This window comes from Homo sapiens, chromosome 5 (assembly GCF_000001405.40).
Source record: "Homo sapiens chromosome 5, GRCh38.p14 Primary Assembly".
Classification (NCBI taxonomy): domain Eukaryota; kingdom Metazoa; phylum Chordata; class Mammalia; order Primates; family Hominidae; genus Homo; species Homo sapiens.
In genome coordinates this window covers 169,270,342-169,296,762 of record NC_000005.10, presented here as the reverse complement: position 1 = coordinate 169,296,762, position 26,421 = coordinate 169,270,342, and the positions used below count along the sequence as shown (strand labels likewise).

The window sequence follows — 26,421 nt, the reverse complement described above, 5'->3', positions numbered from 1 at the left end:
TGAAACGTGAGAATGTGGTAACTTAATTTTCTCCATCACTCCAAATGACGGCTAGCTTTGCCGGTGGTTGGGCCCAATAAAAACTGACACCATGTCATAGGCTTTCCCTCACTTGACCACAGAGGTCCTGAGGTCAAGTGAGAGACTTTCCAAGATGCTCAACAGCCAAGTCCTCTGTCCAGCCCTCAGGGCCAGCTTAGAGGACAGGAACAAGCTAGTGAATCATGGGGTCTCTCTGGGTCAACCACGGTGATGTGGCCTTTTAGGGAAACACAGTGCCCTCCTGGACAGACTAAGGAGCAGCTGAGTGGACCCGCCTCCAGTGGACCGGTATAGCCTCCATGGTGCTGTGCAACTCTGAACGGATTACATTACCTCTCTGGGCCTCATTTTCATGAAAGTAGAATTCTTGTATAGTCTTAGTGGTTTTCTTAGTGGTTATAGTCCACTGGGGGAACTGTAAGTATCCGCCTCCCTAGTGTCTAGAACAGTGCCTGGCACACAGTAGGTGTTCAGCAGATGTGTATTTAATAAAGGAATAATGAACCTCAAAACTACAAGTCTGTCTTTAGTTCTTAAAAGTGAAAGATGGGCCATTATAGATCTGCATTCTGGCATATGACTAAGGGATCCTCACTAGTAACCTATGACATGAGTTATTAAGGGTATCTAAAATTTGGATTTTATGAACTAATATTTATTGCCTTACTAGAGTTACCAAGGACTCCTGTTGAGTGATCTACTCTGGAGTCTGGTTGCCAGGCATTGCTTAGCAACCTTGCAAAACTCCTACTGTGCACATGCCCATGAAAAGAACTGGAAATCCTGAGCACTTAAACCACAGGGCTTTCTAATCAGGAACTCATCAGCGTCATCCTGAGTGCTCTGTGGGTTTTGATTGCTGCTCTTCTTGTATTAATTGATAAGTTCTGCTTTTGTTGATCATCTGGATTTTCTATTATTTCTGCATTTTTGCCGTTTTGATTGTTATGTTGTTTTCTCTCCAGTATTGTTTGTTGTCACAGAGTTCTGTCTCACCTGGAAAGTGAGAATGAACAGTGGGTTGCAGCTGTAGAACCTCTTGCCTTGGCAATGTGGGCTATGGCAAGAAGGTTCCCGACCCCTAAGCATCGTGGTTAGGGCAGGCGCTCCGGAGACAGACGACTGTGGGTTTGAATTGCAGCTCTGTTACATCTTGCTGTTGCACTGTGGGCATGTTACACTATTGCTGTGGACTGCAGTGTGTTAAATTCTTTAGTACCTTATTTCCACACCTGTGATACCAGGATGATGAGCGCACGGTCTTCATGGGGATGCTGTGAATGTAGCCTGAGGCAGTCCCTGTAATGTGCTCAGCACGGTGCCTACCATGTTGTTCACTCATTGCTGTGATTGTTTATCCCTCTATGATTTCTTAACTGTAAAATATGTATGATGACTCTACCCCATTGGGGGGATTAAACAAAATAATATACAGGAAAGTGCTTAACACAGTACAGTCATGTGTTACCTAAAATGACATTCTGGTCAACAGTGGACAACATAGAGGACGGTGGTCTCATAAGGTTAAAATGGAGCTGAAGAATTCCTATCGCCTAGTGACATCGTAGCTTTTGTAATGTCATAGTGCCATCACTTTATTTTTAATAAATTTAGTACAGCCTAAGGGTATAGTGTTGACAAAGTCTACAGTAGTGTACAGTAATGTCCTAGGCCTTCACATTCACTCAGCACTCACTCACTGACTCACCCAGAGCAACTTCCAGTCCTGTAAGCTTTATTCCTGGTAAATGCCCTGTGCAGATGTACCATTTTTTATCTTTCATACCATACTTTGATGGTACCTTTTCTATGTATAGGTATGTTGAGAAACACACATACTTATGATTGTGTCACAGTGGCTTACGGTATTCTGTAGAGGAACATGCTATGCAGGTTTGGAGCTTAGGAGCAATAGGCTATCACATCTAGCCTAGACGTATAGTAGGCTAGACCATCTGGGCTCGTGTGAGTGCACTCTATGAGGTTTGCACAATGACGAAATCGCCTAATGGTGAGTTTCTTAGAACGTATCCCCATCATTAAGTGATGCATGACCCCACCATAGGAGCCCTCCCTGAACTATTCATGTTAGTGGCCATGGCTATTACCTTTATATCTTCATCTCAGGCCCTATCCAGCTGGAAGGTTTGAGACGCCCATCCTAAACTTGCTCCAACCCAGAGCCCTGTGGAAGCGACTTCCTTGCCTGCCTGTGGGCTATGCCCAATACCCTCTTGGCTAGGCCCCTCCTTTTCTCTCTCTGCTCTTGGTCCTGCCCCCACAGCAGAGCCCAGGTTGGCTTCTGTTCCATAAAAAGGGAATTGTGGTGAAAGTGGTTTATATCTTTTCCATGGGTGTGTTGCTTTGTGGTATATTTAAATAAGGAATGCATTTTATTTATTTATTTTTGGGGGGTGGGTTTTCATGGGGAATTTTTGGCCCTGACTTTTTTTTTTTTTTTCAATGCTCATTCCTTCTATTTTTCCTTAAATACCTCCTTTTACTGACTTCCCATGTCTGCCTCTATTACTGTGTTTACTTGAAACAGCTGTATTTCCTAGCAGGCTCCACCCTCATTATGTAAGGTGGTCTTAACCCTTTTTAGGACTGCTGAAAAGAAAGGAAAAACAAGGGGTGGAGGCATTCCCAGAGAGCTCATCTGGACCACTGCTGATCACAAGCTAGATGGCTGTAGAGGGTGCCCTGGCACTGTGCTGAGCTCCCCGTGCTCTCCGTTCTTCATTGTTCTCCATCCTTGAATTCAAATCAGCCTTGCCAAGGTTGGATGCTCATGTTGGGAATCCTCTACCTCTCTGCTCTGCAGGCCTGGACGGTGATCTGTAACTACTGTGACTGCTGGCCTGTCAAGAGGCTAACCTTTCTTCCCCACTCACTGTGGTCTTCATAGTTGTGTTGTCAGTACCATGTTTGATACAGTGAAACCCTGGAAAAAAATTGGCCAAAGCGTGCATGATTAGAGCCTTCTGTACTGCGTGGACAGAGAAGATAGGAAAATGTGGCACTAGAGCCAGACTCTGGGGCCCAAAGCCCGGTTCTGTCACCTACTAGCTGGATGGGCCTCAGTTTTCCCATTTGCAAAATGGGAATAATAATAATACTCCCTTCAAAGGATGCTGTATTAATCCACATAGGCTGCCTGGAACCAAGGGCACCCTCCATCAATATTCCTATTGTTATTATGGTCAAAAGTCTTACTGAGTGTAGACCTCCTATCAGAGCATGATCAGGATGAAGCTTCATTAAGAAAAATACAGATCGTCAGCGTTGGAAGAGGTCCATTTGTCCAAGTTCCAACCACACGAAGGTTGGTCTTCCATCAGCATGATTTAGGGGAAGGTGGTCAGTTAGCCTCCTTTGCTTGATGATATCTAGTGATGAGGAGCTCAGTTCTTCCTAAAGCAATTTATTCCATTAAAAAAACCACAATCCTAATAAGAAAATGTTCTTTGTGTGGGGATTGGACTTATCTCTCATTGATTGTTGTAACCCAGAGCATGTATAATCTTTTTTCCAAATGACAGGTTTTCAAAAGTCTTATTGCTGTGGTGTTTCTCACCACCCATTTACCGGAGTCTCCTTAATTGCCTCAACTATTCTGTATGTGGTACAGTTTGGGCATAGGCCTCGTACTCCATCCATAGTTCTCTTCCTCTAAATAGGTTCCAATCTTCTTGGACTGTATTAGTTAGAAGGAGACCTTCCATGCCTTCACTGTTTTATTTGACTTCTATCAGCCAGCGCATTCAAAAGAACCTTTTCACTTTGGACAGCCACAGCCCTGGGTAGGCTCATTTTGACCAAGCTGCCTGACATCCCCATATCTCCCCAGTCTTCCCTGCTGTTAGCTTGTTGTCCCCTCTTCTAGACTTGTGCAGTTGACTTTTTGGAGTCTAAGTGCAACACTTTGCATTTATCCTAATTAACTTTTGGCAAATCATTTCATTTCATCAGCTTTTCAGGAGCATTTTCTATTTCGATTTCCTCATCTAGCAATTAACTACTCCTTTCCCCATCTCCCACTATTTATTTCCTCTGCAATTTTAATGAGCTTGCCCTATGGATCTTTATCCAAGTTGTCAATATAATCAGCAGAGTTCTCTGTGCATTTTTTTCAAAATCTTTCTACAATCTGGCATGTGGATTACATAAATATATTGCCCCGTTCTTTCCGGCTGGGATGGAAAAAAATGTTGAGGTCTTCTTGGCTTGTAGCATCTTCTTTCCCTGGGGTTCTGTTGGTTCATATTTTCTCTGGAATAATTTCCTATTAATGCTTAATTCTTCAGCTTGCTAAATTTTCTCTATACTCTTGGTTTCTCATGGAACTTTCCATAATGACTTTAGCTTCATTTTTGTCCTATTAGGCTAGTACCACAAGTCTCACCAACACAGGATATGACGCATGTATGTGTGTGTATGTTGAATGTGTATGTATATGTGTGTTATTCTCTCCTGGTAAAAAGTTCAGCCTGAGGGATTGAGCCTTTCTGCCAGTAGCAGAGCTCAGGTAGCTTCAGGTTTTTAAACACAGTGATTTCCCTTAGCATCTTGGGTACACATTGGCATCGGGCACATTTTCTGGAGTAGTTCTGGGAACAGACATGATGAAGAATGAAGCATAGGGGACCAGGGCCTACAGGGTCCCCAAGCCTCTGTAAACGACAACAACAACCATCACCACAACAATAGCTGGCATTTATTGAGCCTTTCTTTGTGCCTGGCACTGCTCTTACACTTTACATGCGTGGAGTCATTTCCTATTTGAAGAGTTATGTGAAGTAGGCAGGACTGTCTGCATTTTATAGATGTGGCAACTACGTCAGAGAGGTGAAATAACATCCCCAGTAAGGAACAGGAGAGGCAGGGTTCATCCAGCCAGGCTGGTCTCAGAGGCTGCACTCCAACTCCCAGTCATGTCATCCCTTCCAGAATCTTTCAAGTCAGCCTCCTTTTCTGTCTTCTAAACTCTATTCTCAAGTAACAACTAGAAGAAGACAAACATGATGAGTTCAACTTAAATCAAAGAGCCCCTGTTCGAGGCAAAGCATCAAGAAGAATGTCAATGATGTGATCTGGACACCTGGTGAAACAGAGCCATCATGTCCAATTTGGGGAAATAGGTGGCCTTTGTATTGGAGCGTGAAGACTAATGGGATCCCTGTGCGTAGAAATGGGAACGTGGTACAGTCACAGAAATTCATGATTAGATGCTCCTGAGCCCAACTTAAAATGATGGGAGCTGCACTTTGGGAAGTTTTATCTCATGGGGATGTTTAGAACAGAATCCAAATCTTAGGAAAATATCTCCATGGTATGTGTCCACTAACTGTTTTTTAAATTTCTGGTTTGAGGGGATACACCCTCCAAGAGTAGTTCTGATGAACCTTGCTGAATAATATTTTCCGCCTCAAGCATCTACTCAAATGTCGGCAGGAGTCATCTTCCTTTGCAGTTAGATGCACCACTTGCTTTCTCTTAGCCGGGATCTCTGGGCTCCTCCCACCCTGGCATCAGGTCTTGTTCCAACAGGATGTACATAAGATGTATCCTGGCTGGAGTCGAGTGTGACTGCACTTATCACGGCCATATCACTGCTTGTGTGGGCTCAGACTCCTCTTCTCTTGTCCTAACTGCCAATCTGGTTCCTGACCCCTGATTCATTCCGCACTTTGGCAGCAGTGTATCCTGTGGCTCCTGAAAGTCTGCCAGCACACTTAACCACCCACCTTGTCTACCTCTTGGGTTTTTCTACCTCTCTAGCTCCTGTCTGTTACCAGTCATATCCATTCTTTGCCCTAGCACGTGCCCTAGTGTATTCCCTAGTGTACACCCTAGCGTATGCCCTAGCATGTGCCCTAGCGTGTGCCCTAGTGGGTGCCATAGCATGTGCCCCAGTGTATGCCCTAGCGTGTGCCCTAGTGGTTGCCATAGCATGTGCCCCAGTGTATGCCCTAGTGTGTGCCTTAGCGTGTGCCCTAGCATATGCCCTAGTGCGTGCCCTAGTGCGTGCCCCAGCATGTGCCCTAGCGTATGCCCTAGTGCGTGCCCTAGCATTTGCCCTAGCATATGCCCCGCACGTGCCCTAGTATATGCCCTAGTGTATGTCCTAGCATGTGCCCTAGTGCGCACCCTAGTGTGTGCCCTAGCGTATGCCCTAGTATGCGCCCTAGTATATGCCCTAGCGCATGCACTAGTGCGTGCCCTAGTATGTACCCCAGTGTATGTCCTAGCGTGTGCCCTAGCATGTGCCCTAGTGCGCAACCTAGTGTGTGCCCCAGTGTATGCCCTAGTGTGTGCCCTAGTATATGCCCTAGCGTGTGCCCTAGCACATGTACTAGTGCGTGCCCTAGCATATGCCCCAGTGTATGCCCTAGCGTGTGCCTTAGCATGTGCCCTGGTGCGCGCCCTAGCGTGTGCCCTAGCATATGCCCTAATATGTGTCCCAGCATGTGCCCTAGCATGTGCCCTAGTGCGCACCCTAGCGTGTGCCCTAGCATATGTCCTAGTGCACACCCTAGCATATGCCCTAGCATGTGCCCTAGCATATTTCCTAGTGTGTGCCCTGGCGTATGCCCTAGTGCATCCCCGAGTGTGTGCCCTGGCGTATGCCCTAGTGTACGTTCTAGCATATGTCCTAGTGTGTGCCCTGGCGTATGCCCTAATGTACGTTCTAGCATATTCCCTAGTGTGTGCCCTAGTGTATGCCCTAGTGTGTGCCCTAGCATATTCCCTAGTGTGTGCCTTAGCGTATGCCCTGGTGTATGTTCTAGCATATGCCCTAGTATGTGCCCTAGCATATGCCCTAGTGTGTGCCCTAGTGAATGCCCTAACTCAGGTATGTCTGCATGCTGTGGAGTCCATGATCCTCTTCTAATCGGAGTTTTATGACTTGACCATAGAATTGTGCATGTTTGCATCTCTCCCTGAGCTTTAGCTACTCCTGGCTCCTGCCTTAATCCTTCTAGCTTGGCTTCTTGCCCTCTACTGCCCTCTATGTATTCTCCATAGCCTTAGTATTGAATTTGGACTGTCACCATCAGAACCCCAGGTCCTGAAATTGGATTTCATGGCCTGGACCTTCACTGGAGACTGCAGACTTGCAAGAACTCAGAGTTCTGCCCTGGAAACAACCTCAGACTTCGTCTTTATGGCCATCTGAAATCTTTTATCATGTCCAGGGTAGCATGTAAAAGTGCCCCAGGGCTGGACTCTATAAATGATGAATTACTTAGACATACTCCTGAACTCCCTGTATCCCAAATAGGACAGATCATTTTGTAATTAAAAAGCGCAGCAGTGATGATCTCATTGGAGAGCTGTCCTGTTCAATAATGTGTTGCAGAAATTTCTGGACTATCTAGTACTTTGCTGACATTCTTTCTCTCCTCTTCTTCTCTCTCCAGCTCTAGAATGTAGGTAGAAAGTGTTCTGAGTATGGGGATTCTAAGTGGAATTAGTGAGAAGCCAAGGGGGAGTACAATTTGGATGTAAGCCGAAATGAGTAGAAAGACCTAGGCTGAATCCTGGCTTCTGTCACTTTCTAACTGCCCGACCTGTCTGAGTACCTTTGCGGTCTCCATAGTCTCATCTATAACCTTTGGAATGGGAGAAATAACACTCATCTCAGGGGGCTGATGCAAGGTTTAAATGAGATCAGATGTCTCCAAATGCCTTCTAAATTTAGTGCTATGCGAATACCTTAATGAGTCCACCCACAATATCTGAATTGAACCACTAAATCCTGTATCTGGAAGACGATCAGGGTATATTTTAGAAGCTTTCATTTACAGATGAAGAAACTCAGGGAGCTCCAAAGCCTTGCTCAGAGTCACCCATGTCTTCAAACTCTTGTTCCAGTTTCCTTTTCATTTAACAAGATGCATCTTTTACAAATTAAAATATAACCTCATACCAGCCATGTCAGCAGCTTAACCAGGTGGAGTTTAGAGGACTGGGTAATTAATAAGTGACAGTGTCCAAGACAGTAGGACCAAATAAGGGAATCCATGAAGGATGGAGTCATTTAAAGGGGCCATTTATTGAGTGTCTACCACAATGAATAAAGCAAGTGAAATGTTCTGGTAACTAGAACAGTTCAAACTAACTTCAAAGTTAGTCTGGACTGTCTCTCCCTCTAAATGACTGACAAGGCAAAGGCTACCATGCTAGGTTCAGAGCAGGGAGATTTATGGGTTGGGAGAAATGCTAGAACCATGAAGGATGTAGCACCAAACCCTCAGGAATCATTGATGAAAGCAAGCCCCCTCATCCCTTTTAGTGGGTACAAATATGTAGAAAGCCTCCCACATCATAAAAAAATAGTACAAGTGGAATTAAAAAAAAACTCAAGGGGGAAATATTAATCTGAGAACAATTGTATCTGAGAAAGCATTCAAGTATGCCTCTGCAGCTAGCTGGCAAACAGCACAAGTTCTGCATTTTATTAGAGTTCTAACTCTGTGTAGAACACTGACCTTATTTGAGAAGCATTTCATAAACACTGACACACAGCACAGCAGCATTTGAGGCCATGAGGAGATACAGGGCCTTCTTTAGGGGGCCAGCTTCCCTTCCCCTCCTCGGCTGCAAGGGACCCCTAGGACATTGTTTCCCTGAGTGGTAATATCTTTATTTTTCTCTCTTAGGTTTAACTCAGCAGGAGGAATTTTCCTAGGGGAAAATGAGGGAGGGGGATTTGGAATAAAATTTGTACTTTGGGCAAGTTTGCCTAAGCATGGGGTAGGCGATGGGGAAGACCCTGCTCTGGGAGAAAGGGTCTAAGAACCTTCACTTGGCCAGTGGAGTTTCTTTTTGGAGATCTCACCTGGTGCCTGGAGACCTATGCTGTGGCTGTGTCAGAGGCAGGTTCTCAGGCAGCATTCACCAGGTCCTTTGGAATGCAAGACTTGTGGCTTGCAACCGCCCTGAGAAACGCGTCCACCACATCCCCTCCTGCTAGAAGCTGGCACCTCCCTTTCCATCTGCTGCCAGCGTACAAGTTCTGAATTTGTGCCACAGAACTTGGTTCTGTTCCTCCCCCTCTTGTTGGCTTCCCTAGCCAAGAGATTTTCAGGCTTTTGAGGTATCACTGGAGATCATCTGGTCTACTCCCTCCCCACTGATCTCAACCCATCTCCAAAGGGAAATGCATTAGAAAGGTCACCAGAGAGGACCTCAGCTTCCTGGTGTGGTCTGCCCTTATGAAAAGGTGCCTTCATTTCTGCCTCATCCTGTGCAAAGATCATGCAGAGCCATGGGAAGCCTCTGCCAATCTGGGAAGCTAGGGAGACAGAAGAGGGACCACATCTAGTACAAAAAAAAATAGGGAATCATGTGGAAGCAGAGGGGAGAGGCACCAGATGGGTGACTCGGGATGGCAGATCATATCCTGAGGGCTCTCAGCACCAAGCCTGCAGCTTATTTCGAGTCTAGAGAGGGAAGATCCCAGCTGAAGAAAACGGCAAGGGAAGGAACACTGGGAACCAGGACTGGAGCAGGAATCCAAAAATGGGAAGGCCAGTTGCTTCATGGGAGCTTTTAATGACTCTAGTTCCCTACCAACACCCCTCCCCTTCTAATTGCTTCATAGCACAAGATGGTAACCAATCTGCTCTGTTTACTCTGTTTAGGCATACATTTTAGTACTTTCTGAAACATTTCCCATAAGCTTCCCCCTGCCGTGTGCCCTCCTTGTACATTCTAGAAATTTTGCAAAGACCTAAGTCTCCTCTGGGTTCTTTCCTGACTGGAGCTGCATGCTGATTCAAGCCATATTCAGTCAGGAAGCTCTCTTCCCGTCTTTAAAACAAGAAACATCTTCTTCCAAGAAGACTGCACTACAGTTTTCTTTGTCTGTGTTGCTAACGAACAAAGAGGCCCCATTGCAAAACAGCATTTCACGAGCAGAGCAGGGCTGATAGCACCTCTTGCCAAATGTGACTGTGTGTAGTTGTGTGGGGGGAAAATAGCTTTGTCGAGAGGAGGGCCGAGGGAGGCGGCTCTGGGGAATTTTTAGCAACTGCAGCATGGTGTAGTGGAAAGAATGCTTGCCTGGGAATTTGGCGACCTGGCCGTACCTCTGACACACCATGTGACCTTGGACAAGTCATTTGACCTCCCTGGGCCTCAGTTTCCTGATCTTTAAAGGGGATGAGGGAAGTAGACTGGATGATCTCCAAGGATCCTTTCAGCCCTATGCATCCTCACTTCTGGGGGCTGGGATTTGGGGTTTAGACCTGAGCCAATATCCAATTCAAGAGACTTTCTAGAGGCAAGAGAGAGGCCAGGACAGCTGCTTCGGGAAGTGGCTGGTCCTTGATTAAGGCTCAAATAATTAGCTCAGCTCCACAGTAAGCCTTCTGAAATTAAGAAAAAAAAAGATGTTTAGTTTAAAAAAATAGCAGTCGGTGTTTCTTAAAACTGATTGGCTTGGGGCTTTGTAGGTTTTATTCAGAGACATAATTTTGCTTCCTCTATAGTACAGCAGTTTAGATTATTGATGCTTTGATGCTGGAGTTAGTGTGACCTGGTTTTGAATGCCATTAGTAGCTAAGTAATCTTAGGCATGGTCTTTAATAGTAACCTGCTTCCCTGGCTTACTAGGAAGATCAAATGAGGTAATACATGTCAAGCTTAGAGGACAGTGTCTGGCATTAAATAATCACTCCAAAAGCCATTATTATGGCTATATTTTGCTGCTTAACAATCCACCCCAAAACTTAGTGTTCTAAAGTGACAACCATTTTATCATGCTCAATGATTCTCTACGTCGTAGTGCAGTAGAGATGGCTTATTTCTGCTCCATACAGTCTGAGGCATCATCTGCAGAGTCTGGAATGACCAGGAGAGACTTGAATACCTGGGTGCTAGAATCCCCAGCAGGCTGTTCACTCACATGTCTGGCACCTAGGCTGGGATGACTTGAAGTCTGGGCTCAGCTGGGACTGTTGAGCAGGGTGTCTACACATGTGACCTCTATGTGGCTTGAGCTTCCTCACAACATGGTGGCCTCTGAGTAGTCTAACTTCTCACATGGTTGCTCCACACTCTGAGAAGAGGTGTGCAGCAACTCAGAACAACTCAGAAGTAGCATGGCTTTTTATGAATGGACTTAAAAGCAACATAGTACCCCTTCTGCTCTGCTCTGTGGCTCTGAACAGTACAAGCTTGCCCACATGCAAGGGTAGGGGTCATCTCTCCATGTAAGAAGTCTCAGAAGTTGCAGCTGTGTTTTAAAACCTCCACAGCTATATAGTTATGATCATCATTTTTCTGTACCATATAATCTAATCTCTTAAGTAGACAAAAAGTTCCTTGAGGACAGGAGCTGGCATTTCTCTATAGAAGCTTAGTACAATGCTTGTGAAAATAAGACAAAATCAACATATTTTCAAAAATCAAATTGAATTGGATAGGCAGCAGATTTGGTGGAAAGACCAGGAGCTTAGCGCCAAGGAGATCTGGATTCAAAAATCTGTATTCAGGCCCAGGTGCAGTGGCTCACACCTGTAATCCCAGCACTTTGGGAGGCTGAGGTGGGAGGATCAGTTGAGCCTATGAGTTTGACACCTACCTGAGCTACATAGTGAGACCCCATCTGTACAAAATATAAAGATAACAAAATTAGCTTGGCATGGTGGTACACAACTGTGGTGCTAGCTACTCAGGAGGCTGAGGTGGGAAGGATAACTTGAGCCCAGGAGGTCAATCTGCAGTGAGCCATGATTGCACCACTGCACTCTATCCTGGGTGACAGAGTGTGACCCTGTCTCCAAGAAAAAAAAAATCTGTGTTCAAAATGTGCCCTTTGAAAAATTACTTGTCTTTCTCATAAAAAAAAGACATAAAGACAATAATACTTATCTCAAGGATTGTTGTAAGAACTAAGGATAGTAAATGCAAAATGCCTAACACACATTCAATGCTCTAACTAAATTACAGATATTGTGAGGTAGTGTAGCATTGTGGCAAGCACCTGGATACTCCACTCAGACAAACCTGGTTTCAAATTCCATCACTTCTCATTGTGTGAATGTAGATAAGTCCCTTCATCTCTTTGGGTCTCAGGATCCTCATCTGTAAAATGGGTACTATAGTAACTGTCTTGTAGGGTTATTGTGAAGATGAGGAATGCTTCTGTCTCAGACCCTGACACATAGTAGGGACTTAAAATGGTACCTATATTAGCCACAGTTAACAATTTGTGTTCTTTTGTTTGTATATTGATTTGTCCATGAATTTATGCACTGAACAATGACTCATGCAATGCTAATAACTCACAATGGCTTCATTTTTCAAGTTTCTGCATGGTAGTGTCTGCTGATGCCTAGATCTGGGAAGATACCCTCATGGGATAGAGAACTAGCCCTTTGGAAAGGAGCTCAGGGTCCCAGGTAAGCTGCCCGGGACAGTACACTATTTTGACACATCCACAGCTGAGTTTTAATTGTCCCTGTTGGCTTTTGACCCTAGAGATCCCCTGGCTTCCTCCAGTTATAATCGTTTTGCTCAGAGGTTCACATTTTCTTTCCTCACCGGATAGATCCTGTCCCTTGCTGCTGTGCAGCCGTGGGCAAACATGTTAGCTCTTACCTTGTGTCTGTTTTTTGTCAGTGCCTTTTTTTTACAGCATTGTTTTATTGGCTGAAATTCAGCAAACTATACCAGCCTTGTCTTTGTGGTGTCAAGCCAGGTCACGGGGGTTCACTTTCCCGGGTAGTTCCTGGGACCTGAAGCTCTCTTAGGAACCATTGACTACGAGCTTCTCCTTTTCTTCCCTAAGACCTCCCAGGAGCCCCAACCTTACCTTTTCTGTTTTTTAAGAGTCTAAATAATCGGATAAAAGACATTTACCTTGTCTTTAGAAAAATGCACAGACCTCACAACATTTCGCAAATGATTTTGAGGCCATTCAGTGGCCACTTCTCCGGTGGCATATTTCTTCTGAATGATCCTTGTCTGTATTAGTGATTTTGATTGGATGAACCTTTGGATTTTTGCTGAGTTTGACTTTGGGATCATCATGTGGCTGTGAAATTGTCATAAGTCCCTCAGTCCCCTCCATTGTAGTAGACATGCATTGTTTTCTGGCTGCCTAAGACCCATTCACTCTTTCTTCCTAGCAGCAGCCTTTCTTTCATTATTGGGATGTCATCTTCTGCACCCATGGGATACAGCCTGGTAGATTTTTGATCAGGGCTCTTGGCCTCTCCTAGTCAAAGGCTAAGTTTATGACCCAAGTCAGGTCAATTGGATCCTTTCTTTCTGGAACTGGAATCTTGACCAGAGGAACAAGGAGATTGGACATAATGGTTTTCCATTTCATCTAAGCACTTTCAAAAGCATAGACCAGACTATGCCTGCTTCCCTCCCACCCCGCCAAGACCTGTTCTTAAGATGCTCATTGAATCCAGGAGTTCTTGATAGCTTTCTAGAGAATTCCCTTTCACTCAAGTTCATAAGATTGCAACCAAATTTCCAAATGAGTGAGAAAGCCACAAACAACAAACTTCTGGGGAGAAAATGGCACAATGAGAAAGATTATGCGTGGCCTTTGGAGAAAGGCAGACCAGGTTTGAATCACAGTTTTACCATTCACCAGCTGGGTGCCCTTAGGCAAGTTCATTTTTCCCTTAGGATGTCAGCATCATTGTAAAATAAGGATAATGAGTCCTGAAGCCCTGGTTCTCAAACTTGCCTGCATATTGCAATCATCTGGGGAGACTTAAAAAATTACTGATGCCCGGGCCAATCCCCAGAGAGTGTGATTTAATGATTTGGGGGTGCTTTTTGGATGTTGGGATTTTGTAAACCTTGCAGGTGTTTCTGATGTACAGCAGTGTTTGAGAAAATTGACCTCAAGAAATTCTTCAAATTATAGGGAAGAATAAATGAGGTAAGATATGTAAAACATTCAGCATAATGTAAGGATGATAAAAGTCACTCTGTTCTCCTTTCCTGTCCTTTCTTAAGGTGAACCAGAATCGCTTGCTGTTGCTTCTAGCACAGTTTTCTTTGTTTGGAGTAGTCATAGCAATGCATGACAACCACGATGCAATATAACCTCACTTATTTATCCCATTATAGGTGAAGGACAATCATAAATGTAGCCAGAATTATAGAATATACAAAAATGTGATTACTTTCACATCCCTGGAATAACTAGGGCGAGTTCAACAATCCTTTGTGAGAACGTTCTATGGAGTAACTGCTTTAATGGAGAGACATAATTGATTTATAATTACCATGGCAACAGCAAAATGGAGTGATGTCTTCCTGAGGGACCTGGACCAGGACCCAGGAGAATTCTCTCCTAGGTCTGCCCTGCAACTTGCTGAGTGACCTTGGCTCAGACGGTTCATCTCATAAGTCCACAGTTTCCCCAGAGCCTATTTTCTGACCTGTGCATCTTCAACAGATTTTTTTGAGGGAAATATATTGAGGTGACAGTTGCTAAGACAATGACGAGAAGAGGCTGTAGGAGGCAGAATGAAAGCAAGGCCTTGAGCCTCATAGAGGAGATAATTATAGATGCTGGTTCTCCCACCTGCCGGCTTCTCCCATATCCAACAAAACCTATCCAAGTCTCTATCTTCAAAAAGTTCTTTCTGTAGAGAGGATGCAAGGGGAAACTTCCACGTAGCTCAGGCTTTCTCACTTCAGTACTATTGACATGTTGGGTTGGATATTTTTGTTGTTTGGTGGGCTGTCCTGTTCATTATATTTAGCAACATTTCTGACCTCTTCTTCTTAGATTCCAGCTGTACCCTTGTTTCATAACAACTCAAAAATGTTTCCAGACATTGCCAAATGTCCCCTGGGGGGGAAAATTACCTCTGGTTAAGAAACACTGGCTAGCCCAATGTCAATGAAGTATGCTTAAATTAATAAAGCAACATAATTGTGTGCACACAGTGTTTAATCTCTGTAGTGCCCTCAGAAATTTTTGCAGATGTCCATGGAGCAGAGATGGTTATCAGGAATCTTTACATCCATTGTTTCAGGTGGGGGTTCTGAGTTACAGAGAAGTTAATAGTAACAGTAATAACGACTAATGCTATTGGCTCACATAATTTTTTTGTGTCCATTTCCCCCCATCAATTATTTATGTATTTATTTACATACATATATGCATACAACACAGTGTGGTTTTAAGAAAGGAACCGCAAATACAATAGCCTAGAGGAACTGGACAGATGAGATCAATGAGCAAAGCTGGGTCGAGTTGAGACAGATTCTTGCTCTGTTGCCATGCTGGAGTGCAGTGGCGCCATCTCGGCCTACTGCAACCTCTGACTCCCTGGTTCAAGTGATTCTTCTGCCTCAGCCTCCCAAGTAGCTGGGATTACAGGCACCCGTCACCACGCCCAGCTAATTTTGTATTTTTAGTAGAGACGGGGTTTCACCATGTTGGCCAGGATGGTCTCGATCACCTGACCTCATGATCCGCCCACCTTGGCCTCCCAAAGTGCTGGGATGAGCCACTGCGCCCAGCCTCCCCCTACCATTTTATAATAAGATTAGGGGAATACATATACAAATCTATTTCTAGTTTCTTTTCTAAAATAAAATCCAGCAACAGAAGCTCAGCTTGGCTCTATGGCAGTAATTGACTGGCTTTTATGTAGATGGGGTGTGTCTCCATTTCACTGCAGTCCCTACCACTCCCTATTGTGACCCCAACACTGAGACAGTACGTCAGCTGCCATTTGACATTATGTTTATTGTCTTTTGCTTGACCCAGCTTTGCTCATTGATCTCATCTGTCCAGTTCCTCTTGGCTATTGTATTTGTGGTTCGTTTCTTAAAACCACACTGTGTTATATGTATGACTGTTCTCGTTTTAAAAATAGAAAAACTGAGGCTCAACAAAAGAAAAGCTATTGCCCAAAGTCACACAGCAAGTCATCAGCAAAGCTGGGAGGGAGACAGACCTGAGCTTCCTACCTGGCCAGCAAAGCCCTGCCCAGCATCACAGAACAGCCACTGGTAGAGTCTCCCTGCATTCCGAGATGCTCCAGCCAGATCTTCTGCACCTTAGAGTTTCCTTGAAGAACCAAATCTCAGTGTCCCTTTTGCTCACCAGGAAACCCACATGTCACCAGAATGGCAAGAGTGTCCTCTGAGTGTAGCTTCCCAGACTACATTTTTCCTGCGTCTCTGCCACTCTTTGGGCTGTGTCCAAGGGCTGCTCACACACTCCCACATAGCCGAGGGGCCAGCTGGTGTGTGTGCTTCTGCCTGAGACGAGGCCGCTTGCCTGTGGGGAGGATGTGATTGCTTTAGGAAATTAAGTGGGAGTGATTAATTAGGAAATGTACTGAGGATGCTGGAAAGAAATAGCAGAAAAGAAAAAAAAAATTGGAACCCTCAATACCAAATGCTTCTGGCCACATGGCTAAGGATACTGCACTCAGTGGGACCAAAAGCATTTGATCCTGTTATTTCTGATGCTGCTGCTTTGATAGCACCTCCTTGCATGAGGATTTTGGAAGGAACCATAAAGTCAGCTGGTCCAACCTCTCCTTTCATTGAATGGCAAATGAAGGCACAAGGAGACCCCCAGCGGAAGCTGGGCAGCTTACAAGAAACAGCAGGACTTGGGACTCAGAAAGACCTGAGTTTGAATTCCTGATGCATCCTTGCTAGATGTATAATCCTGGGCAAATCTCCGAGTCTCAGGCTTCTCACTGTGAAATGAAGGTAGCATTGATGATTGCCAAGGATTTTTGCAAGGAATTAGTGAACAAAAGCAAGCGTGGTGACTGCTAATAAGTGACATGTGCCAGGCACAGTTTTAGCACTTTGTGATTTCTTAATTCTTACAACCATTCTGTGAGGTGGGTACTATTATGAGTTCATTTTATAGATGAGGAACAAAGGCACCAGAGGGGACATTATTTACTTCATGTCTGGAAGCTCATAAGTGGCAGAGTCAACTTTCCCATGCAATCCAATTCAAGAATTCACCTTGTCAACCACTAAGCATTCTGCCTCTTGTGCATATTATATAATTTATGGATAACATTATAAAATGAATAAAATATGAAATGTATGATATCCTTTTATATAGCTTATTAAATTATTATTTACATAATATGTTATGTTAGGTTGAACCCTGTGGAATTGGCACTTTTGTTAGAAAAGGTGGCATAGTAGTAATTTCAGAGAGTTCATCCTAATATGGAATATATGTAAGTCACAGAAATTTCTCTTTCTCTTCCTTTTCTGTATGTATGCATACAGATTCAGCTAGTTCCTAACTCAGAACCTCAGGTTTCCTCCTCCGTAAAATGGGGCTAACACTGCCTAACATAAGGTGCTGCTCTTCCATGCCAGTGAGACAGGATGTGGGGAAAGCACCTAGCCCCTTGCTCAATAAGTAGCATCTGTTGTTATTCTACACACACCTGCAGGGGTCTGCTATTTGATACTCCTTCCTTCACCACCCTTCACTCACACTTTGTTTTTGGTTAGAGAGTCTCCATGTCCAATAAAGCTTTTAAGTTACACACAGGTAAAGTATTGGGCCCAGAAGCTGTATTTTTATTTCACGGGACTTTGATATTTTCAATATGCTTCAGTGTAACACAAAGCTTCCTGTCAGGCCAAGCTGAATGCTGCCGTCTTCCCTACATGTAAGAATTACAGTGCTGCCAACATGAGATAATACCACCTTACCTAGCCTCATGGCTCATTCCTCCTGGATTTTCTCCCGGGTCCTCATGGTACAGCCCCCGTACCATGAATTCTTGGCCTGTCCATCAACCTTCTCTTTGGAAACTTTAACCAACTCCAGTGTCATCTGTGGTTTTAATGCAGTGAAAGTTCTCTGAGACCCCTTGAGCTGTGGGTTCTGGGCCTTGCAGGAGAGGCTGGTGGTGATGGCCCTGCTCTCTCCCCAAACCCCTTGCCAAAATGAGCTTTGAGGGATGGGTAGCCCATGTGAAGAAACATGGCGGAGGGGTTCCTTGTCTCAAACCTTGGCTCTGTACCTGGAAAATAATGAAGGAAATGAAGTCTGCCCTCTCATTCTGGAGCCACTTCTGTTTTCCCACAGACCTTGGGGGGTCAGAGGAAGTAGCAGAAGCAGGGTTTTCTTTGGGCCTGCGCATTAATACTGGAGCGTTACAGTAACAATAAGAGCTAACTTTTACTGAGACCTCACAGTGTGCCAGGCACTGTGCTAAGTGCCTTTATTGATTCATTTTAGTGCTCAGAAGAATAGGATTAAGTCCAAGTTAACGCACAGAGGGGATGAATAGTTTTCCCATGAATCCCCACATGGCAAGAGGCAGAACTGTAATTCAGGCCAGTCTGTTTAGCCCACTGCTTTGGTTTCTTAGTCACAACACTCTATAGCTTATCCTACTTTTCAGGTGTTACCAAGTGGGCTTCCTGATTCTAAAGCAGCAGGTTTTACTGATTTTCAGGCATGGAAACAATGCAGAAAGGTGGTACAGATGGTCGCTGGAGGAAAGCCCCCTATTTGTGATCTCAGTTGCTGCCTGGGTCTCTTCTGTGTCGCCAGGCTTCTATATGGGAGTTCCAGATCCTGTCAACAGGGGAGTCAGGGAAAAGTTGAGCAGGACATCACATCCAAAGGAATATTACAATATTGTAAGCAGGAGAGACCATTTATTCATTCAACAAAGCTATAGTCCATGCACCCATGTGCACCTCGTGCAGTGGTGAACAAGCCACGTCTTACCAATTTGCTCTTACAAAAAACAGGCTCATCACACCTACTGTGAAGGCTATAGTCAAAGAGAAAACATAACCCAGAAAATAATAAGTGTAATTGGAAATTGGAACCCTCCTACATTGCTGGTGAAACGTAAAATGGTGCAGCTGCTGTGGAAAACAGTAAGGCAGTTTCTTAAAAATTTAAACGTAGGACTACCATACGATCTGGCAATTCCAGTCTTAATTATATACCCAAAAGAATTGAAAGCAGGTACTCAAACAGATACTTGTGTGCCAACTTTCATTGCAGCATTATTCTCAATAGCCAAAATATGGAAAAAAACCCCAAGTGTCTATAAACAGATGAATGGATAAACAAAATGTGGTATATACATACAATGGAATATTATTCAACCTTAAAAAGGAATGGAGTTCTGATACATGCAACAACATGGATGAACATTGAAAACATTCTGCTGGCCACTCGTGGTGGGTCACCTCTGTAATCCCAGCACTTTGGGAGGCCAAGGCAGGCAGATCGCTTGAACCCAGGAGTTCAAGACCAGCCTGGGCAACATGGGACCTGCCTGAAACCCCATCTGTAAAAAAATACAAAACTTAGCTGGGCATAGTGGTGCAAACCTGTAGTTCCAGCTACCCAGGGTGCTGAGGTGGGAGGATCACCTGAGCCCAGGAGGTAGAGGCTATGGTGAGCCATGATCATGCCACTGCATTCCAGCCTGGGTGACAGAGCAAGACCCTGTCTCAAAAAAGAAGAAAAGAAAAAAGAAAGAAAAGAAAAGAGAGATTATGCTAAGTAAAATCACCCAAACACAAAAGGATATTACAGATTCCACTTACATGAAGTGTCCAGCATATTTCCAGAATAGGCAAATTTATAAAGACATAAAGTAGATTAAAGGTTATGATGGGCTGGGGAGGGGAGAAAGGGGAGTTAGGGCTGAATGGGTACAGGGTTCCTGTTTGGGGCAATGAAAAAGTTTTGGAAATATGTAAATGGTGATGGTTGCACCACATTGTGAATGTACTTAGTGCCACTAAACTGTGCGCTTAAAAATAGTTAAAATGGCAAAACTTATATGATGTAGATTTTACAGTTTTAAAAAATCTCATCACAAGAGAAACAAAAAGCCTGCTTTATAAAGGAGGAAAATTATAGAAATTCTTTTCTCATCCACCTCAGCCCCTAGACCTTATGTGTAGCGCACAGCCCAGCCTATAGTAGATGCACATTTCTGTTTTTGTCAAGCCTTACTGGGAACATAATCATTCTATTTGTAGTTGAAAATGGCACTGAGGCTGTTGAGTGTAAATTTTACTACCATGGCAACTGTGGAACACAAAGATGATAAATATGAACATGCAGCAATATTTTTGGCAGGTAGAGTCAGCTGGAGGTAACATGTCTCCTTGCAGGTAAGTGCAAGATTTGAGGGAGGGTAAATTGTTAGGAATTGTTACAAACTCTCAGAATCCCAACCAGGAAATATCCTCTTTGTTCCAATGAAGGGCATCCCGGCGACTCTTTGGACCAGTTGAACCAAAGAGGATAGAGGATGAAGTCCAAATTGGTAATGGACTCCAGGAATCTTTGTTAGCAGCTCTTGGAAGAAGATGGGAGGCCAACCACACTTTTCTCCGCTTATTGACGACACAGTTCAAATCATCAGGAAGAGACATTATGGGTCTACAGGTCTCCTGGGCTGTGAGCAGAGTCGCAGCTGGCATCTGGGAGAAAAAAGAAAGAAGACCACAATTTGGCCTTTAAGGAAATAGACCTGGGAGGAGATAAAAGGGAGTCATCTCACTGTGTTGTCTGATGGGCCAGAAACCCTCTTTCAGAAGAAATTGGTTTCTGAAAGCTGATGTGAATTTCGTGTAGCGTTCAATTGCTCTCTTTCTTTGTTTAGGCTTAGCTCACCATTTTTGGATTGAGGAGGCAAGACTTCGCGTCACTCCCCCGACCCATCCTACCCCACAGCCCACACACTGACATACACACAGACATGCACACAGACACATGTACACCCTTTATCACTGGCAAGAGGGACCAGTTTTACAATCCAAAAGCCTTATCTGCTGCAGGGTCCACCATCCTGACCCTAGCCCACCCATGACTTCCCTCTTCCAGGCTCAGTTCTGAGCTCCATCCCTGATATGGTTTGGCTGTGTCCCCATTCAAATCTCAACTTCAATTGTATCTCCCAGAATTCCCACCTGTTGTGGAAGGGACCCAGGTGGAGGTAATTGAATCATGGGGGCTGGTCTTTCCCATGCTATTCTCATGATAGTGAATAAGTCTCATGAGATCTGGGTTTATCAGGGCATTCCACTCTTGCATCCTCATTCATTTCTCTCTTGCTGCTGTCATATAAGAAGTGCCTTTCACCCTCCACCATGATTATGAGACTGCCCCTACCGTGTGGAAGTCCAATTAAACCTCCTTTTCTTCCCAGTCTTGGGTGTGTCTTTATCAGCGGCGTAAAAAAACAGATTAATACAATCCTTTTCCAATGCTGTATGTGACACAGCGACATCAGGACAAAGTCTGGCCCTCTGACACTGCAGCTAGGTGAACCTTGTTTGGAAAAGTCTTTAGGCAGCCTCTGAGGGAAGGCTGGGTGATTTTACAGCAGTAGAAAGGCTATGGGTTTTAGAATTAGGGCTGAACTTGAATCTCATTTTGACACTTGACAGTCGTATAACTAACTGATGGGTCACCAAACCTTAGTTACCTCATCTGTAAAATGGGTGCAGTGATACCTGTTGTCCCAGGGTTCATGTGTTCAGCACCTATGCATGAGAAGTACTTACACACCACCTGTGTGTAAGTACCAATCTCAGCAGCTACTGCTATTATGAAGGCACGTAACAACCATTTTGTGTTAATGGATCTGGCATTCGAGTGCACTGACATTTGTTGGCTTGAAAAATCTCAGCCCAGGCTAATTCTGCAGAGGTTAAGGCAGCATCAGCTGTGTGCCGTACAAAGCGCTAACGTTTATAGATCACTTATTATATTCAAAGGATCAAACTGATTTATACACATTATCATGTTTAATTCTCACAACAACCCTATGAGGTTGAACCTATTTATTACATCAAATTTCCAGAAGAAAAAGCTGAGGCTTAATGGATTTAAATGACCCACACAAGACCACCCAACTGGTAAGTATTTGAATCCAGATGGTCTGACTCCAGAGCCCAGGTGCATAACCAACACCCTGGGTGCTATGAGCAAGGAAGGAGGCTGAGCCAGGAAGATGCCAGTGTCAAGATTGGAGATGTTTTCTCACCACTCAGTCTTGGAAGCCCTTATCCTATCATGAAGATCTCCCTGTTTGCCCAGAGATTGTTGCTTTTCCAGGCTTGCCAAATCCAGTTCCCATCAGTCATGCCTGAATCAGTTCATTCTTTCCTTCATTCATTCCATCAACATTCATGTACTGAACGGCTCCCTTGCACCATGACTGCTAGTGTTGGAGATCATTTATTGGCTACTGACTAGGCCCCAGGCACTGTACTAGTGAATTTTATACATTATCTTATCTGTTTTTTATACAACTCTGCGTGGTTGGCCTCTAAAACTTAATGCTTCTTTCGATTTGACGAAATAGATGCATAAGGAGGTTAAAGTAGTTGCCTTTCATTGTCCCGAAATGTAAGTGTCAGAGCCAGGATTCAAATCCTACAAGGCTTTCATCAGCCCTAGCCCAAGGAGATGTCTTCCTTTTTCCAATTCCCACAGCATAAATCGGTCTTCTAGACTAGTGGTTCCCAACTTGAGCAGGCACCAGAATCACCTGGAGGGCTTGTTAAAACACAAATTGATAGGCCCACCTGCAAAGGATCTGACTCAGTAGGTTGGGATGAGGCCCTACAATGGGCACTTCTAGCAAGTTCCCAGGTGATGCTGATACTGCTGGTCCGGGAACCCCATTTGGGGGATTATGATGCTGTCTGAGCTCTTTGAAGATAGGGATTCTGCCTTTGTTGTTCCCCTAGTATTGTACAGTGCCTGGTACAAGGTTGCTTGATTGTTATTTTGGATTATTTTGAATTGTTCAGCTGCACATTAACTTATTTATATACCATATTGTGTTTTTGTATCAATGTGAAGATTCTTAGGCTTTACCATTTAGGTTTTAAGCTCCTTGGGGTCAGGAATTTCACACTAAGGACCTTCTGCAGAACATTGCACACACTAGATATTTGGTAAATATTAGCTGGTCCTTGTGGCCAAAGTCCTGAAGGTTTACCTTATCTTAAGCCCAATTCAAGCTTGTAAACTCAGCCTCAAAGCATAAGTTGGTGGATGGAATTTTCCAAGACTTGCCGTTCACCTCCAACAATGATTCTCAACCCTAGCTGCACATTGAAATCACCTGGGGCCTTTAAAATAGTATGAATCCTGGTCTCTATCCCCAGAGATTCTGGTTTAGTTGGTCTGCAGTGTGGCCTGGGCAGCAAGTGTTAAAGCTCCCTCAGGTGATTCTAATTTGCAGCCAAGACTGGGAATCACTGACCTAGAGCATTTGGCTGCATGACTTTCTCCTGGGCAATTTCAGAGGCTGTGTATGTGCATACACATGTACATGTGTGCAGAGAAGTGGGAAGCTATGCACGCCTCTTGAATGTACAGAGTGATCATCTCTCTCTCTGAGATGAGGATACAAAGGCCTGGAAGCCAAGCCTCAGGTAGAAACTTGGCAAAGCCAGAGGTACTTGAGAGCATCAAGGGTGCCTGCCTCCCTCTCCTGTGGCCACCTTTGGCCGAGTGCCGGTTGCCACATTCCACGGTGAGGGGACTCTGTTTCAAGGCCAGAGGCAGGGGGTGGTGGGCTGAATGCAGGTAGTATGGCTGTTGCAAGGCCTTTTTGTTCTCTCTCGGTTCAGAAGGGGCCGCCTTCCCAAGGGCTGAGGTGTGGGCCTTAGCATTTGGCACCATGTGTGTCGGTGCTGAGTTTATTCTTGGGTTTCTTGGTGGAAACACACACGGCTACTTGAGACCCATGAGCTGGCTGAGAGCAACGGGAAAGGTCATGCCTGGGCTCCCACCCCAGCAGGTTGACTGACTCAGCACAATCCCAGTGTAATTAAGCATGACAAGAAGAGAAAGGGGAAAGGGCTGGTGCTTGCGCGTGTGCACTCAGCCCAGGTCCCGGGGGCCCAGAGGATTCAGAAGTGCCAGCTGCTCTCAATTTTACTGGAGCCAATGTTTGGCTCACCTGCAGCCACCTCCATCTCTTTTTCCCTGGGAGCTGGGGTCAACTTCAGTAGACCTGCAGGATCAAGTCTGGCAGAGGGATGATGGGGTGAGTGCTTCTTGTTCCCTTCCCTTCTCGTTTCTCTTCTCACATGGTCTTGGAAGCTGTGAATGAGAGACACGATCACATCAGTGCATTCAAATCCCCCACTGTTGTTTAAGCAGTAGCCTGGGCAAGGCACTGTGCTGGGCACCAGAGTGAGGACTGATTCATGGGCTTGGTTTCTTTCCTAGCAGAGCTTTTACGCTAGGTTGGAAAACATTTCATAATTATGAAGTCTGCAGTTAGATCCAATTACCTACCTGGGCCAGACAGGTAATATAAATGGGTGAATTGGGCTGCTTGTGAAATCTTAGGAAGTAACAGGGACCTTGATGAACTAGGGACTGCATGCCCAGCTGCTTGCAGAGCCAACATTGCGTAAGCAGCCGAGAACATCTCCAGAGTAGAACTAGGCAAATCAAAACTTAACCTGGGATTGTGGGTCAGGGTGGAGGTGTGTGGTCAGGTTGCAAACGGAACAGGGACTCTGCCCTCCAAATGTGACATGAAGGTCCATTTCTCTCCTGTCCTTTTACAAGCAAGGGAACTGAGGGATGGAGAGAAGGGACGAAGTCAGATCCCCAGCCCCCTTACCCATGGGCCTCCTATAGCTCAGGCACTGCCCAGGCAGAGAATGTTGACATGGAGAGCTTGATGGGCTTCTGCCCCTGCACCTGCCCAGTTTCCCCTACTCTCCTCTGTACCCACTTGCCTGCTTTTCCCCAGCACTGTGCTCATTTGCCCATTACGAGTCTATGGACCCAGATGTCCCTTGGGATACCCTGGAAGCCTAGTCTGTGGTCTCAGCCTCAGAGCTCTACCCCATAATGATAGGGTCTACGGCAAGGCCTCTGTAGATAAAGAGGCCTGTATCTGCCCCAAGGGTTCTTCCTCTGAGAGGCTAAAGGAGACTTGGACTCATGGAATGGGAGTGGCAAGTGCTTTTCTCTGGAGTTTGAAGCACTCTGTAGCTTCCAGGGCTTTCTTGCTTCTGGTGTGATGCTATTTTGAGCATCTCTGTCTATATATATAGGATACTCCCGCAGTTGTTTTCTTTTTAATTGTCCATCCACGTGCTTGTGTTTTCCACAGAATATGTTGCGGTGAAATTGTTCCTGCAAAGCCCCTGCCTCCTTCCTGAAACCCTCTACCCCCTCGCAATGCCCCGTGCACCAGCACCGTGGCCCCAGGCCACGTCAGAGTAAACAAACCACAGAATAAAATTGCAGCCATTCAAGAGAGGAGCCTTTAATTTGAGCTTAAAATAGCCCACTGTCTGAGAGTTTGAGGGACCAGGAGCAAGGTGTAATCGCAGGAATGAGCGTAGGAGACTCATCTCAGGATGACTGAGAAGGGGCCGTGAGCTGGGAGAAAGGCAGGCATGGGGATTGTGGGTTGCACTGGAGCCCCCTATAGCTTATTCGAAGTTAGCCTCTTTCATGATGGAGTAGCACATGACATGGCAATAAAAATACACAGGACCTGCTGCCTCCATCTGGAATGCTTGTCTGCCCTCCTGCCTTTCCTCGAAACTATGAGCATCATTGTCATATCACCTACAGTCAGGACCACAACATTGCTGAATTCCTGGGCCACCATTCACATGATGTACTCCAGGTGTGCCATTTTCACTGTATACTGTTGAACGATGCCCCCTGGAGTTGTGTGAGCAGCAATACTGGCAACAATAAGAGCAAAGAGATGGAGCACTTATGAGCTAGGCATTGTCCTAGCCGTTTGACATGTATAACCTTGCCTAGTTCTTAACCCAACCTAAGGAAGAGGACACCCATTTTATAGATTATCCACATACTACAGATAAGGAAATAGAGGCACAGAGAGTTAAAATAACTTCCCCAGAGTCATGTTGCTACTTCTGTCCCCCAAGTGCAGAATAAGCTTCAGTCTGATGCAGAGTGAGAACCCACACTTTTAACCATTATGTTTCATCCACCATACTATTGTTGTGCTTGTTATTCTTATTTTTTTGACTGCCGCTTTCTTGTTTTCGACCCTCCTAGACTATATAAGCGCCTAGATCAGGGTCAGCAGACAGCCATGTCATACATGTATATTTAGGCTCTGGGTCTCTCAGTCTCAGTGGCAGCTACACAACTCTGCCCCTGTCGCGTGAAGGCAGCCATAGACAATGTATAAACGGATCAGTGCGGCTTGGTTCCAAGAAAACTGTATTTATGGATACTGAAATTTGAATTTCATATAATTTTTATGTGTCATGAAATATTATCCTTTTGATTTTTTCCAACCATTTAAAAATATAAAAACCATTCTTGGCTCCCAATCCATATGAAAACAGGCAGTGGGCCGGATCGGGCCTGTGGGC

At 44.9% G+C, this 26,421-nt stretch overlaps 1 protein-coding gene across 3 annotated transcripts in view; it reads left to right on the top strand.

The window, feature by feature from the left end:
* SLIT3 (slit guidance ligand 3) overlaps positions 1-26,421 on the top strand; it is a 639,400-nt gene that overhangs the window by 4,377 nt on the left and 608,602 nt on the right. The window contains exon 1 of one of the 3 annotated variants that reach the window (XM_017009779.1): positions 24,064-24,083. The exons of the other annotated variants lie outside the window; for them this stretch is intronic. Coding sequence (XP_016865268.1) covers positions 24,076-24,083 — 8 coding nt within the window. The 5' untranslated portion in view covers positions 24,064-24,075. Of the gene's footprint in view, positions 1-24,063; positions 24,084-26,421 lie in introns of those variants that run through there. 3 annotated transcript variants of the gene reach the window in all.